The sequence below is a fragment of the Homo sapiens genome, chromosome 10 (genome assembly GCF_000001405.40).
Source record: "Homo sapiens chromosome 10, GRCh38.p14 Primary Assembly".
Taxonomy (NCBI): domain Eukaryota; kingdom Metazoa; phylum Chordata; class Mammalia; order Primates; family Hominidae; genus Homo; species Homo sapiens.
Window position 1 is genome coordinate 53,587,369 of NC_000010.11, and position 19,488 is coordinate 53,606,856.

General features: G+C 37.4%; 4 annotated features.

Moving 5' to 3' along the window:
* Nucleotides 10,257-11,015: an enhancer, noted in NCBI's record as "OCT4-NANOG hESC enhancer chr10:55357385-55358143 (GRCh37/hg19 assembly coordinates)". NCBI's record gives its function as "activates a minimal SCP1, AML or CMV promoter by ChIP-STARR-seq in primed H9 embryonic stem cells {active_cell/tissue: H9 hESC(primed)}" and the evidence as "EXISTENCE:reporter gene assay evidence [ECO:0000049][PMID:30033119]".
* Nucleotides 11,016-11,773: an enhancer, noted in NCBI's record as "OCT4-NANOG hESC enhancer chr10:55358144-55358901 (GRCh37/hg19 assembly coordinates)". NCBI's record gives its function as "activates a minimal SCP1, AML or CMV promoter by ChIP-STARR-seq in naive and primed H9 embryonic stem cells {active_cell/tissue: H9 hESC(naive and primed)}" and the evidence as "EXISTENCE:reporter gene assay evidence [ECO:0000049][PMID:30033119]".
* Nucleotides 11,774-12,532: an enhancer, noted in NCBI's record as "OCT4-NANOG-H3K27ac-H3K4me1 hESC enhancer chr10:55358902-55359660 (GRCh37/hg19 assembly coordinates)". NCBI's record gives its function as "activates a minimal SCP1, AML or CMV promoter by ChIP-STARR-seq in naive and primed H9 embryonic stem cells {active_cell/tissue: H9 hESC(naive and primed)}" and the evidence as "EXISTENCE:reporter gene assay evidence [ECO:0000049][PMID:30033119]".
* Nucleotides 12,533-13,289: an enhancer, noted in NCBI's record as "NANOG-H3K27ac-H3K4me1 hESC enhancer chr10:55359661-55360417 (GRCh37/hg19 assembly coordinates)". NCBI's record gives its function as "activates a minimal SCP1, AML or CMV promoter by ChIP-STARR-seq in primed H9 embryonic stem cells {active_cell/tissue: H9 hESC(primed)}" and the evidence as "EXISTENCE:reporter gene assay evidence [ECO:0000049][PMID:30033119]".

Here is a 19,488-nt window from a genome sequence, read left to right on the forward strand (position 1 = left end):
TTAGCTCCCACTTAGAAGTGAGAACACGTGGTATTTGGTTTTCGGTTCCTGCTTTAGTTTGCTAAGGATAATGGTCTCCAGCTGCATCCATGTCCCTGCAAAGGACATGATCTCATTCCTTTTTATGGCTGCATAGTATTCTATAGTGTATATAGACCACATTTTCTTTATCCAGTCTATCATAGATGGGCGTTTATGTTGATGCCATTTCTTTGCTATTGTGAATAGTGCCACAGTGAACATACACATGCATGTGTCTTTATAATAAGATGATTTATATTCCTTTGGGTATATATCCAGTAGTGGTATTGCTGGATCAAATGTTATTTCTGTCTCTAGGTCTCTGAGAAATCACCACACTGTCTTCCATAATCATTGAACTAATTTACACTCCTACCAACTCCTACCCTATAAGGGTTGGTTTTCTCCCCAACCTTGCCAGCATGTATTATTTTTTGACTTTTAATAATAGCTGTTTCTACTTGTGTGAGATGGTATCTCATTGTGGTTTTGATTTGTATTTTTCTTTTCTTTTTTTTTTTTTTTTTTTGACGGAGTCTCACTCTGTCACCCAGGCTGGAGTGCAGTGGCATGATTTCAGCTCACTGCAGCCTCCACCTCCTGGGTTCAAGCAATTCCCCTGTCTCAGCCTCCTGAGTAGCTGGAATTACAGGCGCCTGCCACCATGCCTGGCTAATTTTTGAATTTTTAGTAGAGACTGGGTTTCACTATATTGGTCATGTTGGTCAGGCTGGTCTTGATCTCCTGACCTCATGATCCACCCACGTTGGCCTCCCAAAGTGCTGGGATTACAGGCATGAGCCACCACGCCTGGCTGATTTGTATTTTCCTAATCATCAGTGGTGTTGAGCTTTTTTTCATATGATTATTGGGCACATGTATGTCTTCTTTTGAGACGTGTCTTTGCTCACTTTTTAATGGGATTATTTGTTTTTTTCCTTGTAAATTTGTTTAAGTTCCTTATAAATTCTGGATATTAGACCTTTGTCAAATGAATGGATTACAAAAATTTTCTCCTGTAGACTGTTTACTCTGTTGATAGTTTCTTTTACTGTGCAGAATCTCTTTAATTAAATCCCATTTGTCAATTTTTGCTTTCATTGCAATTGCTTTTGGCATCTTCATCATGAAATCTTTGCCCATGCCTATGTCCTAAATGGTATTGCCCAGGTTTTCTTCTAGGATTTTTATAGTTTTGGGTTTTATATTTAAGTCGTCAATCCATCTTGACTGATTTTTGTATGTAGTGTAAGAAAGAGGTCCAGTATCAATTTTCTGCATATGGCTAGTCAATTCTCCCAGCACCACTAATTAAATAGGGAATCCTTTCCTCATTACTTGTTTTTGTCACGTTTGTTGAAGATCAGATGGTTGTAAGTGTACAGTCTTATTCCTCGGTTCTCTGTTTTATTCCATTGATCTACGTGCTTGTTCTTGTACCAATATCATGATGTTTGGTTACTGTAGCTCTGTAGTATACTTTGAAGTTGGGTAGCATAATGCCTCCAGCATTGTTCTTTTTGCTTAGGATTGCCTTGCCTATTTGGACTCCTTTTTGGTTCCATATGAATTTTAAAATAGTTTTTTCTATTTCTGTCAATAATGTAAGTGGTAGTTTGATGGGAATAGCATTGAATCTATAAATTGCTTTGGGCAGTATGCTCATTTTAATGATGTTGATTCTTCCTATTCATGAGCATGATATATTCTTTCATTTGCTTGTGTCAGCTCTGATTTCTTTGAGCAGTGGTTTGTAGTTCTCCTTGTAGAGATCCTTCACTTCTCTTGTTAGCTGTATTCCTAGGTATTTTATTCTTTTTGTGGCTGTTGTGAATGGGAGTTCATTTTTGAGGTGTATAGGAATGCTAGTGATTATTGCACATTGATTTTGTATCCCAAGACTTTGCTGAAGTTGCTTATCAGCTTAAGAAGTTTTTGGGCTGAGACTATGGGGTTTTCTAGACATAGAATTGTGTTATCTACAAACAAAGATAGGTTGACTTCCTCTCTTCCTATTTGAATACTCTATTTCTTTCTCTTCAATATTCCGGCCAGAACTTCCAATACTGTGTTGAATAGGAGTGGCGAGAGAAGACATCCGTATCTTTTGCCAGTTTTCAAGAGGAATACTTCCAGGTTTTGCCCATTCAGTATGATAATGGCTGTGAGTTTGTCATATATGGGTCTTATTGTTTTGATGTTTGTTCCTTCAATATCTAGTTTATTGAGAGTTATTAATATGAAGGTGTGTTGAATGTCGTTTTTATCTTTAGTTCCGTTTATGTGATCAATCATGTTTACTGATTTGTTGAACCATGCGTTGAACCAACCTTACATCCTGGGGATGAAGCCTACTTGGTCATGGTGGATAAGCTTTTTTTTTTTTTTTTTTTTGAGATGGAATCTCACTCTGTCGCCCAGGCTGGAGTGCAGTGGCGCTATCTCGTCTCACTGCAAGCTCCACCTCCCGAGTTCATGCCATTCTCCTGCCTCGGCCTCCCGAGTAGCTGGGACTATAGGCACCCGCCACCACGCCCAGCAGATTTTTTGTATTTTTAGTAGAGATGGGGTTTCACCATGTTAGCCAGGAATGTCTCGATCTCCTGACCTTGTGATCCGCCTGCCTTGGCCTCCCAAAGTGCTGGGATTACAGGCGTGAGCCACCATGCCTGGCCTGGATAAGCTTTTTGAAATGCTGCCGGATTCGGTTTGCCAGTATTTTGTTGAGGATTTTTGCATCTGTGTTCATCAGGGATATTGGCCTGAAATTTTCTTTTTTTGTTGTTGTATCTCTGCCAGGTTTTGGTATCAAGAGGATGCTGGCCTCATAGAATGAGGAGGAGTCCCTCCTTTTCAATTTTTTGGAATAGGTTCAGTAGGAATGGTATAAGCTCTTCTTTGTAGATCTGATAAAATTCAGTGTGAATCCATCTGGTCTTGGGCTTTTTTGGTTGCTAGGCTATTTATTAATGCCTCAGTATCAGAATTTTTTATTCATCTGTTTAGGGATTCAATTACTTCCTTGTTCAGTCTTGGGAGGGTATATGTGTCCAGGAATTTATCAATTTCTTCTAGATTTTCTAGTTTATGTGCATAATGGTGTTTGTAATATTCTCTGATGGTTACTTTTATTTCTGTAGGGTCAGTGGTAATGCCTCCCTTATCATTTCTGACTGTGTTTATTTAAATCTTCTCTATTTTCTCCTTTATTAGTCTAGTGAACAGTCTATTTATTTTATTTTATTTTTTTCAGAAAACCAGCTTCTGGATTTGTTGATCTTTTGAAGGTTTTTATTTTTTGTCTCTATCTCCTTTAGTTCAGCTCTGATCTTGGATATTTCTTATCTTCTGCTAGCTTTCAGGTTTGTTTGCTCTTGTTTCTCTAGTTCTTTCAGTTGTGATGTTAGGATGTTGATTTGAGATCTTTCTAGCTTTTTGATGTGGGCATTCAGTGCTATACATTTCCCTCTTAGCACTGTTTTAGCTGCAGCTCAGAGATTCTGGTACAATGTTTCTTTGTTCTCATTAGTTTCATGGAACTTTTTTATTTCTGCCTTAATTTCATTATTTACCCAAAAGTCATTCAAAAGCAGATTTTTCAATTTCCATGCAGTTGTGTGGTTTTGAGTGAATTTATTAATCTTGGGTTTTTTGTTTTTTTTGTTTTTTTTTTGGAGACAGGGTCTCCCTCTTTTGTCCAGGCTGGGGTGCAGTGGTGCAATCTCAGCTCACTGCAACCTCCACCTCCTGGGTTCACTGATTCTCCTGCCTCAGCCTCCTGAATAACTGGGATTACAGGCATGTACCACCACAGCCTGGCTAATTTTTGTATTTTTAGCAGAGATGGGGTTTCACCATATTGGTCCTGCTGGTTTTGAACTCCTGACCTCAGGTGATCCCCCCACTTTGGCCTCCCAAAATCCTGGGATTACAGGCATGAACCACCATGCCCAGCCTAATCTTGAGTTCTAATTTGATTGTGCCCTGGTCTGAGAGACTGTTTTTATTATTTTAGTTGTTTTGCATTTCCTGAGAAGTGTTTTACTTCTGATTATCTGATCAATTTTAGAGTAAGTGCTGTGTGACAATGAGAAGAATATATATTCTATTGTTTTGGGTTGGAGAGTTCTGTAAATATCTGTAAAGTCCATTTGATCCAGAGCTGAGTCCAGGTCCTGAATATCTTTTTTAATTTTTTTCTCAATGATCTGTCTAATATTGTTAGTGGGGCATCAAAATCTCCTGCTATCACTGTGTGGGAGTCTAAGTCTCTTTGAAGGTCTCTTAAGAACTTCCTTTATGAATCTGGGTGCTCCTGTGTTGAGTGCATATATATTTAGGACACTTAGCTTTTCTTGTTGAATTGAACCCTTTACCATTGTGTAATGCCCTTCTTTGTCTTTTTTGATTTTTGTTGCTTTAAAGTCTGTTCTGTTAGAAACTAAGACTGCAACCTTTGCACTTTTTTTTTTTTCCATTGATTTGGTAAATTTTTTTCCATCCCTTTATTTTGAGCCTATGTGTGTCTTTGCATGTGAGATGGGTCTCAAAGACAGCATACCAATGGGTCTTGTTTTTTTATTGAGTTTGTCACTCTGTGGCTTTTAATTGGGGCAGTTAGCCCATTTACATTTAAGGTTAATATTGTTATATGTGAATTTGATCCTGTCAACATGACACTAGCTGGCTAATTTCACAGACTTATGTGGTTGCTTCAAAGTGTCACAGGTCTATGTACTTCAGTGTGTTTTTGTAGCGGCTGTTAAGTTTTTCCTTCCCATACTTAGTGCTTCCTTCAGGAGTTCTTGTAAGGCAGGTCTGGTGGTAACGAATTCCATCAGCACTTGCTTATCTGAAAAGGATCTTATTCTCCTTTGCTTATGAAGCTTATTTTGGCTGGATATGAAATTCTAGGTTGAAATTTCATTTCTCTAAGAATGTTGAATATTGGCCCCCAATCTCTTCTGGCTTTCAGAGTTTCCACTGAGAGGTCTACTGTTAGTCTTTGCAGGTGAGCTGGCCTTTCTCTCAGGCTGCCCTTAACATGTTTTTTTTTCATTTAGACTTTAGAGTCTTTAATAATTATGTGTCTGGGGGATGATCTTCTCATTGAGTATCTTACTGGGGTTCTCTGGATTTCCTGAATTTGGATGTTGGCTCATCTAGCTAGGTTGGGGAAGCTCCTCTCTATGATATCCTGAAATATGTTTTCCAAATTGGTTCCATTCTCCCTGTCTCTTTTAAGTACACCAATCAGTTGTGGAGTTGGTCTCTTCACATAATTTTATATTTCCTGGAGGGTTTGTTCATTCCTTTTCATTCTTTTTACTCTATTCTTGTCTGCCTGTCTTATTTCAGAAAGACAGTCTTCAAGTTCTGAGATTCGTTCCCCTGCTTGATGTACTCTGTTGTTAATACTTGTGATTGAATTGTGAAGTTCTTGTAGTGTGTTTTTCAGCTCTATCAGGTTAGTTATGTTCTTCTCTATACTGAATATTTTGGCTGTCATCTTCTGCATTGTTTTATCATGATTTTTAGCTTCCTTGCTTTGGGTTACAACATGTTCCTTTAGCTTAGTGAAGCTCCTTTTTACCCACATTTTGCAGCTTACTTCTGTCATTTCAGCCATCTCAATCTCAGTCCATTTCTGAACTCTTGCTGAAGAGGTGTTGTGGTCACTTGGAGAAAAGAGGACGCTATGGCTTTTTGAGTTTTCAGCATTCTTGCACTGATTCTTTCCCATCTTTGTGGGCTTATCTACCTTCAATCCTTGAGGGTGCTGACGTTTGGATGGAGATTTTGTGTTTTTTTTTTTTAATTTTGTTTGTTTGCTTTTCTATTAACAGTCTGGCCACTTTTCCATAGATCTGTTGCAGTTTGCTGGGGGTCTGCCATAAACCCTAGTCACCTTGGATTTTCCAGTACCTGGAGGTATCACCAGTGAAGGTTGTGAAACAGCTAATATGGCAGCCTGTCCCTTCCTCTGGGAGCTCCATCCCAGGGGGTACAGAACTGTTGCTGGCCCAAAAGCACCTGTAGGAAGTGACTGGAGACCCCAGATAGGAGATCCAACCCAGTCAGGAGGAAAGGAATCAAGGACCCACTTAAAGAAGCAGTCTGGCTGCATTTTGGTAAAGCAACTGTGCTGTGTTGGGGGATTCCTTCAGCCCCCAATCAGTTTGGGCTCTCCAAGGCTGAGATGCCCAAACAGCAGAGGTGGCAGCCCACCTCATCCCACTCCATCCCAGGGAGAAATCCAAAATCTTTCAGCCATAGAGCATGGGCAGGAGTGGCCGGATACCTCGACTGAGAGGTCCCACCCAGCAAGGAAGAACAGATCAGGGTCCTGTTTAAAGAAGCAATCTGGTCACACCTTGGCAAAGCAGCTATACAGTGCTGGGAAACCACTTCTGCCCCAGTTGGTTTGGACTTTCCAAAGCCTGCAGGCTGGAATGGCTGAGTTGTCCAAACAACAAAGGTGGCAGTCCTCCCCTCCCTCCAGGAGCTCCTTCCTGTCTCAAGTAGGCACGACCCTGTTGCCAGTGCCTGGCTAGAATTCCAATTCAGTCAGTCTTATCTTATGAGGTGCTGTGGAGGTGGGGCCCACCGAGTGACACTGCTTGGCCCCTGGATTCAGTCAGCTTCCTAGTGGTACGTACAGTCCTCCTGCCTTGCCTGAATTGCAGTCACCTTTGCTGGGCATCCCAGGCATGAATATTTACAACTCCTGGGTCTCTGTGCATGCCTCAGCAGCAGCTCTGCTGAGACTCCACACAGCTCTGTGTGTCAGACCCAGGGCCCTGATGGAGTTAGTTAATGAGGGGCTCTCCTGATCCAAGGTTGCAAAAATCCATAGGAGAAGCGTGGTTTCCCAGGTCATACATTCAGTTACCACTTTCCTTGGCTGGGGGTGGGAATTCCCTTGGCTTGATGTTGCTTTCAGGTAGGCTGTCTCCTTGCCCTCCTTTTCTTCATTCTTCATGGGTTGAGTAGTTTCCCTGAACAGTCCCAGTGTAAGTTCCTGGATGTTTCAGTTGAAGGTGCTGCATTTACTCACCCCTTTTGTTCCTCACTGTGAGTGCCACACACAATAGCTGCTTCTGATCGGCCATCTTGGCCCTGACTGATTCTGATTTTTTCCTTAATTTTAGGCAGATTAGAATCATAACTTTGGATAAAGGCAAGAATGCTCTTCTAGGTAGTGAAATGTTAAAAAGTGAGTTTATTGCAAAACTGGAAGGAAATGTATAAATTATATTTAGGGATACTCATGCTGAGTGCAGTGGCTTATGCCCATAATTCCAGCACTTTGGGAGGCCAAGGTGCCAGATTGCTTGAAGTCAAGAGTTTGAGACCAGCCTGGACCAAATGGCCAAATCGCATCTCTACAAAAGTAAATATAATTAGCCGGGTATAGTGGTGCATGCCTGTAGTTCCAGTTACTAGTGAGGCTGAGGTGGGAAGATCGCTTGAGCCCAGGAGGTTCAAGGCTGCGGTGAGCCGTGATCGTGCCAGTGCACTGCAGCCTGGGTGACAAAGCAAGACCATCTCAAAAATAATAAAAAAAAGATATTTAGGGATACTCATCTATATCTTATTTGGGAGCCTTTTGACAGAAAGGGAAAGAAATACATTCAATAAAATTTTTGAACATCACCGTGTAATTTAATTATTGATAACCTAATTATGGATTAAATTAATTTAATTATGATTATTCATAATTTAGTACTTTACAAATTAAGTTATTAATTTAATTATGAATATTCCTAAAGTGTACAAAATTCTAAGACCACCAAGATTTCCCTCTTCATGGTGTATATGTCCTATATAATCCCTGGGTCTGTAAGATGATGGTTTTACTCCCATGATTAGTTTATTTTATATGATATAGTTGACCTTAAAACAGGGAGACTAGCTAGGCATGCCCCAATCTCATAAAATAGAAGTTTTTCTCCAACTAGTTGAAAAAGAGAAAGTCAGAGAGAAATGCTGACTAATCTGGAAGAAAGCAAACATCCATGTATGAACTGCCTAAGGGGGTCACATGAAAAGAACTTAAAAATGACCTTCCTCTTCCCTTTTTCACTTGTTTCATTGAGGTAGTTAGCTGTGAAAAGTGTCAGTGATTGAACAGGATCTACTGGGCATGAAGCAAAGCAGGCTAAAAGCTAGGAGCCAGGAATATGAGCCATGTGAACTGTAACATGTGAGTGTGTTTCTGTCATGTCAGTCGTCCTCTGCAGTTAATCAATGTTATACCTCATGTCATTGCCCTGTAAGGATCTAGAAATGTCTTAGTCTAACATGAGGAGCATGGTTCAAGAGCAATACGGAAGACACCTAGGTTAGGCATTAACATGAGATCGTGAGTAGATAAGGAAACAAAATACTGAGCAACCCAGATTAATAGAGCTTTTTTATAGTAAGATCAGAAGATCATTAGGATTTTTAGAAGACAAATTTAGTGACAGGTTTAACAATAATGGCTGTAGAAAAAAATCAGAATATGGTCTTTCTGAATTAACTTTGAAGTAACACTGTGTCATGCAGCAGCATCTTTAGACCCAACACTATGGTGATAAACATTGTTGGTCAAGTTATGCTTGATTAGAAAGAAGAATAAAACAAGCAGAGGATGAAAAAACCTGGGGCACATGAAAATAAGATTCTTCTTAGTTTTTACTTTTTGTTGCCATGATATCCTCATACTTACAGCTAATAAGAATCTTAGTCCACATATATCTGCTCTCACAAGTTCAATAGAAGCCTTTCTTAAACTCATTTGAGCTTATTTCTTGCATGATCATCTATTAGTGTGTGACAAATACCTCAAAACTCAGTGACATACAGTAGTAGCATGTTTTGTATTGCTTACACATTTGCGTCAACTGGGATAGCTCTGCTCAATGTATTTCTCATTCTTCCGGCAGAAGCAGCTGTACAGAACATTTCATTCTTGTTCTGATGACAGAAAAGCAGGAGAGCATGTAATTTCAAGCCTATGTTTAAATAACACCACTAACTTCTCATTGATCAAATCAAGTCAAATACCCAAACCCAACATTGGTGGGACATGGAAACATTCTCTGCCCACAGTGGGAGGCAGGGGTACACAAATATTTGCTAAAAAAAAAATGAAAAAATGCAAACTATCATAGTCACTAAGCCAGTATATTCTAGCTACTTGAAATTACATAATTCAATTGAGTGCTGTGCAAACCAAGGAAATATAACAGGAAAGAGAGTTGCTTCATGAAAATTTAAATCAATATTTTGAGCTGACAGATCAAAGGCAAATAACCGAAAAAACAGATTCTGCTGAATAAGATATAGGTAACTTTGTTGTAAAATACTGGGGAGGGGGACAAGGATAAATAAATTTCTAAGTGATTCTGCCCTCAGATTGCTTTGCAATGTTCTTTAGCTTCTTACTCCATTAAAAAAAAAAAAAGCTAACATAAATGATGAGTTACTCTAAAATTATGTAGCACTCCAACTGGGAACTGTAGCCCTAGAACGGCATTGGCTGTACGTCAAATGGTATGTTTGTATTTGTGTGTTTGTTTAAATTTCAAATGCAGCATTTAAAGTACTCATGCATTATGATTCATGTTTTATATTAATTTGCTTTTTCAATTAATTAAAAATGACTAGCCTTGATCAAATCAGAGATAAGAACTCCTGATATCAAAAGTAGATTTAATTATTTAAAGAAAAAAATAGTAGAGTTCAGTATAAGTTTATACCTTTAGCTAATTACCAGATCTTCAGAAACTCACTTGACCCTTCTCTTGATGACAAGGTGGTTAAATCAGAATAATAGTTGTTAGTGAATACAAATTCCCAATGAGATCTGTAGCACTTTGATCATTATTCTGGGAACATTAAAAAAAGAAAAAAAGAAAAGTCTTTTCTACATGTCTTCTTTTACTAGATCACCTTCTAATCAGTGTGTTTCCACAAAGGCGCTGTTCAAAGAACTTAACAAAATCATGTCCAAGCTTAAGAGGCCCTCATTTAAACTCAAATATAAGACAAATGTTCAGCTGCCTGAGTCTCTTTTTGTCTAAATGTGATGGCATCATTGATACACTAGAGAACCTTAGCACTGGGAAAGCCACCCAGGAGAAAAGTATATGATTTATGCTTCAATTTGAATTTAAGCTTTCAATTTAAGCTTTAAATTTAAGAAAGTATGTTCCAGACATACTTTCTTGGCTTTTTAAATAATTTTTCCCATGTAACTATAAAACCAAAGGAAATGACTGGGACAAATCTCAATCAATTTAGAGGTTTATTTTGCCACAGTTGAGGACGTGCCTGGGAAAAAGGAACACAAAATCACAGGAACATCTGTGATCCATGCTTATTCCAAAGAGAGTTTGAAAACTTCAATGCTTAAAGGGGAAAAAGCTTTAAATAGGGGAAAGAGGGAAGAAAAGAGGCAGAATAAATAAAAGACTTGAAGCGGTTGCATTCCTCTGAGGCTTTTAATGGTGTTCACTGAATTCACATTTTACATGTGAAAAGAGTGGGTAGAGGAACAGTCAACCATGCATGTCTCACACTCAGTGAATCTGGATTTTTCCATAAGATAAAGTAAATACAGAGTAGAGGAGGCAAATATGCATTTGTCTCAGGGAGTGGAAGGAGGACTTTCAGTCCTGCCTTTGTTCTGTGAAGATAAGCTGTTGATTTACATTGTCAAGGCAAAACTTAAAAGAACTCTGTTTTAGGCTAAAGATCTTGGGGCCCACAGGAATTTCCTTGTGAGCAAATTGTGGAAAGAATCCCTGGGGAGGTATGCTGCCTTCTATCTTTGCAGCTGTCCATTTAAGAACAAAACGGGAGGCAGTTTTGTGTGACTCAGTTCCCAAGTTTAACTTTTCCCTGTGGCGTAGTGAGTTTAGAGTCCCAAGATTTTATTTTCCTTTCACATAAAATAATCCATAATTCCCATATTTTGATTTTCTCTATAGTAATAACTCACTGATTTGGTTAAGATCACTTTCTACATGCTTTCCATAGTTTCTTGCTCTTTAAAAAAAGTGGCATCCTCAATTTGTTTTGTGTATCTAAACTGCTTTAGTATACTTAATTATTTTGACCAAAAAGCTGCAGTCTCTTTTCACAAGTTTGTTTTCCATTATTTAATGTTGAAGATATAATTACTGTTTTTGCACAAAAACAACTAGTGTTTTCTGAGCAAACCAATCATGGATCAATTTATTTTGTATTCTTCAGTTTCTCTTCTTGGATGGTAGATTATATGTTTTCATTGTTGGTGGATAACTACTTTCTTATATAACATAAACTTCACTGTAGTGAATATAATAGTACCATGAATATGCAGGTTTCATCTATAAATCTTCTATTACAGTTTCTTGACATTGCTGGCTAAATTCTTTGAAAAAGCACATCCTTAAAGTATCACCCATTGGCCAAAAACAGATCTTCCATTATAAAGAAAGCTTATGTAAATAAAAATTAAAATCTCAGAACCCTCCAAATGTATGCAAAAATGAAGATTAAGCCCTGAAGCTGACTCATTACAATACCCTCTTCCAAATGAATAGCTGTTAGTAACATTATGGGTCAACCAAGTCTCCATGGAAAGGTAAAAAGCCTCAGGCATCTGGGAAGGGCTGCCCCCGCAGATTATTCATAGGCAAATTCTTTGCTAGCTTCCCATTAACAAAGACACACCAATTGTAACTTTAGGTCTGCAATCTAAGTCTACCTCCTAAAATTCCACACCGATTACACATTTATCTTCCCAGGTGCAGAACAAAGTCAAGGCTCATTTCCTATACCCATACTCAGAGACTTTGCATAATTGACTCTTCCTTAACTCTCTTTTCTTCTGCAGACATCCACATTACCTTATGTTAAATGTGGATTTACTGGGCACTAACTGAAGTCCCACCGGAATGTAACTATTCACCTTACTGCCTGCCTGTCCCTCTTCTTACATGCCTCTCCCCATCACCCCTTAAGGAAATGTTTATGGTAGAGTTTATAGTTTATGATGCTTAAACCTTATGGCAAAACACTAAACCTGAAAACCTCTTTGGGAAAAACAACCACACATGTGCTTATGGCTCATATTATTCCTGGAAATGCCCTAAGTCGGGCTTAATAAACCTCAGTGATTGAGACTTATGCCTCAATCACACATTTCTCTTGTCACTTTTCACAGACCTGGGTATCATGATGGGTTTAAATAGTTTTGTTTACAAGTCTACTATTGTATGTCCTTATAGAACCTAAGATAAGAAAGGGATAGACACAATGAAACCATTATTGACAATTCATACATACACCAGACATATACTATTCTAAAATGAGTCGCCCGAGCACGGTGGCTCACACCTGTAATCCCATCACTGAGGCAGGCAAATCTCTTGAGATCAGGAATTCTAGATCAGCCTGGCCAGCACAGTGAAACACCGTCTGCACTAAAAATACAAAAATTAGCCTAGTATGGTGGTGTGCACCTGTAGTGTCAGCTACTCAGGAAGCTAAGGCAGGAGAATCACTTGAACCCTGGAAGTGGAGGTTGCAGTGAGCGGAGATCATACCACTGCAAGTCTGGGTGACAGGGCCAGACTCTGTCTCAAAAAAAGAAAAAAAGAAAAAAGAAAATGACCCTTTCTGAATGATCCTAAAATGATCACCTCAATACAGCAGGGCGCGGTGGCTCACGCCTGTAATCCCAGTATTTTGAAAGGCCGAGGCAGGCGGATCACGAGGTCAGGAGATCGAGACCATCCTGGCTAACACGATGAAACCCCGTCTCTACTAAAAATACAAAAAATTAGCCAGGCGTGGTGGTGGGCGCCTGTAGTCCCAGCTACTCAGGAGGCTGAGGCAGGAGAATGGCGTGAACACGGGAGGCGAAGCTTGTAGTGAGCCGAGATTGCACCACTGCACTCCAGCCTGGGCGACAGAGCGAGACTCTGTCTCAAAAAATAAAGATTTTGAAAGTCTTTGAGATTGTACCCTTTACTCTCTTCCTGTAGTAAAGCTTTACTATCTTATTAATAAAATTGGTAAGGCATTTAAAATGGATGAGGAAAGAATTGCGTTGATGGTTTAGTCTTAGGAAAGGCTATTATCCTTTAAACTGTAAACTAAATTTTCCCCAAAATTAGCTTGGCCCACACCCAGGAATAACCAAGAGCAATTTGGAGGTTAAAGGCAAGATGCAATTGTTAGGTCAATTTCTTTCACTGTCATAATTTTCTCATGGTTATAATGTTTGCAAAGGAAGTTTCACTATTCGGTAGGGTAACTGCTTACCAAAATATCCAGGCAAGTGAGTGAAATATTTAACAGACTGAAAATCAATGCAGTCGTTTTTATTATACAAAACTAATGATTGTGGTCATGATATTCAAAATAAGAATTATCTAATAATTTGTTTAAGTACAAATACCCATAATGTATGAAATTAATAATGTTTCTTACATGAATTATCTTCTAATAATTTTCTTCTGCAAAAACTTTAACTTTCTTTAAAAATTGGAAACAAAATAATCAAATTGTGGTCCGACGTACTCAACTAACTTGTAAATAACAGAGATGGAGTGTACAACAGTGGAATAGCCAATACAGTGGACATCAACCTAGGTTCTAATCTAGATCCTGTTAGAACCTGGTTGTACAAATTTTAGCAAACACTTTCATCTCTCAGATTTTTAACTGGGTAATAAAATTTTGAAAGAATTGAACTCAAAAGTCTGTTTCAGATCTAAAATTCTAAGATTCTACTTGATGGTAAATATTCTCAAACATTCTTTTCAAGAACAACAACAAAAAAGTCACCCTGAAAAAATTCAAGTGCTAGAGAGAAATGGTTGCCCAATTTTTTTTTCTTTTTGTAAACAGCTTCTCTATTTAATGTTTTACAGAATTAACTAACTATATAATATAGACTTTAAAAGATCAATTACGAGAAATAAGACGTAGAAGTTTTTTAATTATCCGTGGTGTTAACCTCAAGGCTCAACTGCTTAGAAACGTTAACATGGTATTTGCACAAGCATGTTAGCTGCAGCTGTTACATGACACTAGGGGGAGCTCTAATACTGTTTTGTTTTATGTTCACTGTGGCTTTAGCGTTTATTTTTAATTTAGTTGTCATAAATTAATATCTAAATGTAATAATCCTCCAAATACAATAGTACCACCAAAATGAGCGTGCCCAAAGTGTCGATGTAACGTTAAAACTGATAGGGAAATTTGTCAGCCATTTTCACAAATGTGTCTTTAGAAAACTATGATTCCATGATTATTCAAAACTTCCATGAACTATATACGAACACAGATGTGTGTGAGGTTGAATATATGTGTATGTATGCATTTTCAATTGACATGTGACATATCCTGAAGACGGTTCTGTGTGCCTTTGAGAAGAATATATATTCTGCTACTGTTGAATTTATGTTCCGTAGATATACCTGAGTTCCATTTGGTCTATACAGTTGTTCAAGTTCACTATTTCCTTATTGATTTTCTGTCTGAATGAAATATCGTTGTTGAAAGTGGTGTACTGAAATCTCTTATTACTATAGTATCGTTGTCTATTTCTCCCTTCAGTTCTGTTAATATTTCCTTCATATTTAATATTTCCTTTATGTATTCAGGTGTTCTAATGGCAGGTGGATAGACATTTATTTTATATATTTTTATATATTCATATATATGTATTATATCTTACTGATACATTAATCAATTTATCATTATATAATGTGTTTCTTTGTCCCTTGAGATAATTTTTGACTTATATATATATATTTTTTCTGATATTAGCATAACCACCCCTGCACTCTTTTGATTACTATTTGCGTAGAATATCTTTTTCCATCCCTTCACTTTCAGCCTATGTGTGTCCTTAAATCGAAAGTCAGTCTGTTGTAGACAGCATATAGTTGGGTCCTGTTTATAATCTTTTCAACCACTAACTGTATGGTGATTGACAAATTTAATCTATTTACATTTAGGTGATTATTGATATGGAAGAACTTACTATTTCAATTTTGTTAATTATTTTATCTCTGGTTTGTAGTATTTCAGTTTCTCTTTTCCCATCTTGCTGTCTTTGAGTTTTACTGATTTTGAAAAAGTTTGTTTAAATTGTTATGGGTATATAATAATTGTATACATTTATGGGACACATGGGATGTTTTGATATAGGCATACAATGTGAAATGATCAAATTAGGGTAATTGGGAGTAGCCTTAACTGCAAGCTTTTATCTTTTTGGTATGTAAGGAACATTTTAATTCCACTCTTAGCTATTATACAATATACAAAAATTTTTTTAACTATAGTCAACCTATTGTGCTACCAAATACCACATCTTAGTCATTCCATTTATGTACCCACTAACCATCCTCACTTTATCCTCAGAAGGGTTCCCCTTTCTCCACAGGCCTGTTACCTAAAAGACAGGAATTCATTATTGCCTGTCTTTTAGATAAAAGTTATTTTAACTGGTTGAGATATCTCCCTGTTGTTTCGATTTTCATTTTTCTGATGATTAGTGATGTAGAGCATTTTTGTATATACGTGTTTGCCATATGTATATCTTCTTTTGAGAAGTATCTATTCAGCTCTTTTTTTTTTTTTTAGATATTTTGGCCATTTTAAATCAAATTATTTTTTGATCCTATTGTGTTTTTGGGGGGCTCTTTATATATTCTGGTTATTAATCTCTTATCAGATGGGTAATTCATAAATATTTACTTTCATTCTGTGGGTTGTCTCTTCACTTTCTTGATTGTTTCTTTGCTGTACAAAAGCTTTTTAGTTCGATGTGATCCCATTTGTTCATTTTTGCTTTGGTTGCTTTTACTTTTGAGGTGCTACTCAGGAAGTCTTTACCCAGATCAACGTCTTAGAGTGTTTCCCCAATGTTTTCTTCTAATATTATTATAGTTTCAAGTCTTAGATTTAAGTCTTTAATCCATTTTGATTTTTGTATATGGCAAGATACAGGGGTCTAGTTTTATTTTTCTGCACATGGATATCCAGTTTTCCCACAACAATTTATTGAACATACTGTTATTTCCCCAATGTATATTCTTGGCACTTCTGTTGAAAATGACTTGACTATTAATGTATGGATTTATCTCTGGGTTCTCCATTGTGTTCCATTGGCCTATGTGTCTACTTTTATGCCATTATTATGCTTTTGGGTTCATTTAGCTTGGGAGTATAATTTGAAGTCAGGTAATGTGATTCTTCTAGTTTTGGGTTTTTTTTTTTTTTTTTTGTGCAAAACGGCCTTGGCTCTTCTAGATCTGATTCTCTTTTCACTGTTTTTTTTTTCTGTATGTGTTTTTATATTGTGGTTATTATGAAGTATTCCATAGACATCTTATAGTTATAAAAGCCTATTTTAAGCTAATAGCAAATTATCATCAATAATGTACAGTCTACAATACAATATACTTCCTTGTCATACTTTATGTTTTTGATGTCACAATATACACCTTTCGACAAGGTAAGTCCATTAACACATTTTTGTAATTAGTTGCTTTTTATATTTTTGGATTTTTAACTTTTATACTACAATTAAAAGTGATTTCTACACCATCATTACAGTATTACAATATCCTTTATTTGTTTACATGATAACCTTTACTAGCAATTGTTACCCTTTTAACACTTTCCTGTTTCTGTTTACTATCCTTTAGTTTTAATATAAAGAACTTGCTTTCACATGTTTTGCAACTCATTTTTAGTGGTAGTGAACAAACTCAGCTTTTTTTTTTAGGAAAGTCTATCTCTCATTCATTTTTGAAAGAATATTTTGCTGGGTATAGATCCATAGTTGGCAGATTTGTCTTGTTTTTTCTTTTAGTACTTTGAATAAATCATCTAATTCCCTTCTGTCAGCAGAGTTTCTGCTGAGAAATTCACTGATAGTATTATGGGAGCTCCTTTACACATAATAAATCTATTTTCTCTTGTGCTTTCAAAAGTATCTCTTTATCTTTGAATTTGACATTTGATTATAATGCATCTTAGTATAAACATTTTGGTTTACCCTAATAGGACAAATTTGAGCTTCATAAATATGGATGTCTATTTTCCTCCCCAGATTTTGAGAATCTTAGGCCATTATTTTTTAAAATAAGTTTCTGGCTTTTTCTGCCTTTTCTTTCTGGAATGTCACATATATATTGTTTCCTTTTATTTGTTATGTCCCATTAATCCCATAACTATCTTTATTGTATTTTATTTCTTCTTCTTCTTCTTCTTCTTCTTCCTCTTTTTTTTTTTTGACATGGAGTCTCTCTCTGTCACCCAGTCTGGAGTGTAGTGGTGCGATCTCGAATTACTGCAGCCTCTGCCTCCCGGACTCAAACTATTCTCGTGCCTCAGCCTCCAGCGTATCTGGAATTACAGGAATGTGCTACTGTGCCCAGCTAATTTTTGTATTTTTAGAAGAGATGGGGTTTCGCCATGTTGGCCAGGCTGGTCTTGAACTCCTGACCGTAGGTGATCAGCCCTCCTTCGCCTCCCAAGGTGCTGGGATTACAGTTGTGAGCCACCACACCTGGGCCTTTTTTGCTCTTCTGACTGGATAATTTTAAATTATCTGTCTTTGAACTTGCTGATACTTTCTTCAGTTTTATCAAGTCTGCTGTTGAAACTGTCTCTTTGATTTTTCAGTCCAGTTATTGTATGGTTTCTATCTCTTTATTGATAGTCTCATTTTGTTCATGGGTCTTTTTTCTGATTTTGTTGAGTTGTAGGTCACTGAAACAGTCATGGCTCACTGCAGTCTCAACCTACTGCAGTGATCCTGCAGGGCTCCAGTGATCCTCCCACCTTAGTCTCCCAAGTAGCTGAGACTACAGATGTGTGCCACAACAGGTGTGCCACAACATTCAGCTAATTATGATTATTATTATTTTTCTTGTAGAGATGAGGCCTCAATGTGTTGCCAAGTCTGGTCTCAAACTCTTAGCCTTAAGAAATTCTCGTGTCTCAGCCTCCCAAAGGGCTGGGATTACAGGCATGAGCCACAACAGCTAGCCTCACTGAGCTTCTTTAAGGTAATTATTTTGAATTCTTTCTCATGCAAACCATAGTTCTTCATTTCTTTACAGTCTGTTACTGGAGGTTTATTTTTCCCTTTGGTAGTGTCATCTTTTCTTGATTCTTGGTGGTTCCAGTAGCTTTGCATTTGCATCTACACATTTAAAGAATCACTCACTTCTTCCAGTCTTTATCAGCTGGTTTCAGCGGAGAAACTCTTTTACCAATCAGCCTAGCTGGAAGCTTCTCAAATATTTTCTGTGGCTGTACACATTCCACTCCTTTTCTATTCTTGGTGGACACATTTCAGGGTTGTGCCTCTTCTCCCAATCTCAACATGTTGTGCTGGTCACAGTAAGTCATCTTCATGAAAGGAATGCACTGGAATGGTGACAGGCTGGGTGCAAGTTCCACTTCTTTCTCTTCCTCCTGAAGGGTAAGACTCAGGATTGTAAACTTTCTCTTTATGTCACAGTGCCATACAGACTTGAAAGCTTCTTGCCCCATTTCCCTAGTGTAGCTCCACTTTTCTCCCTTCTTCCTGAATACAGAATCTAAAATATTTGCATCTTCTTTCCATCCCACAGTGCTATGCTAGCTGCTGAGAGACTCAGCACGTTTCTTTGGTGTTAGCTTCCCCGAGGCATTCTATTACTGGTTCCCTGACTGCTTGGAGTTGAGGTAAAACAAAATTAGGATTACTGGGGAGAACCCCAAGCCTGGGAATGTCAGATGGACTCTTCCCTGAGTCTTTCCCCCAAGGGAGAAATGTTGAGCCTAATGAATTTCTTTTGTCACTGAGCCAGAGTGGCTTGTGGGAGAGGTTGACACAGATAAACTAAAATTGTTCCTTTCATCCATTTCAGAAAGATTTTTCTAAGTTTTTCACCTTTCGAGGCTGTTTCAAGTTCTTAATTGGATTTTACAGGTTTTATAAAGGTATTTTGGCCCAAATAGCATTGTTTTATCAGTGTTTATGTGTGGAGATGAGTGCTAAGACTTCCTACTCTGCCATCTTGCTGATATCACTCTTCAGCAAACATTTTTATTTATAATGATTTTTTATATTAGCTAGAAATTTACCAATTCTTTAGTTAATTTATCTGTTTTTAAAAATTTCTTTGTCAATTTTTCTATTGAGTTTTTTTATCGAATTGTATAAGTTCAGTCTTAGATCATTGATTCTAGACTTCAGGTGTTATATAATTTAGTAATTGAGATTTTGATTTATTTTCACATCAAAATTTAGAATAAATATGTAGTGAAGTATGGAAATCTTTTAGCATATGGCTTCTGGGCAATAGTTTCTTTGACTTTATATGCAGAAAGGAAATTGGACTCTTTAATTTGATTTTTAAATGAACCCTGAAATTGAACATTAAACTATAAAAGAAATCCTAATAGGCTGCATTA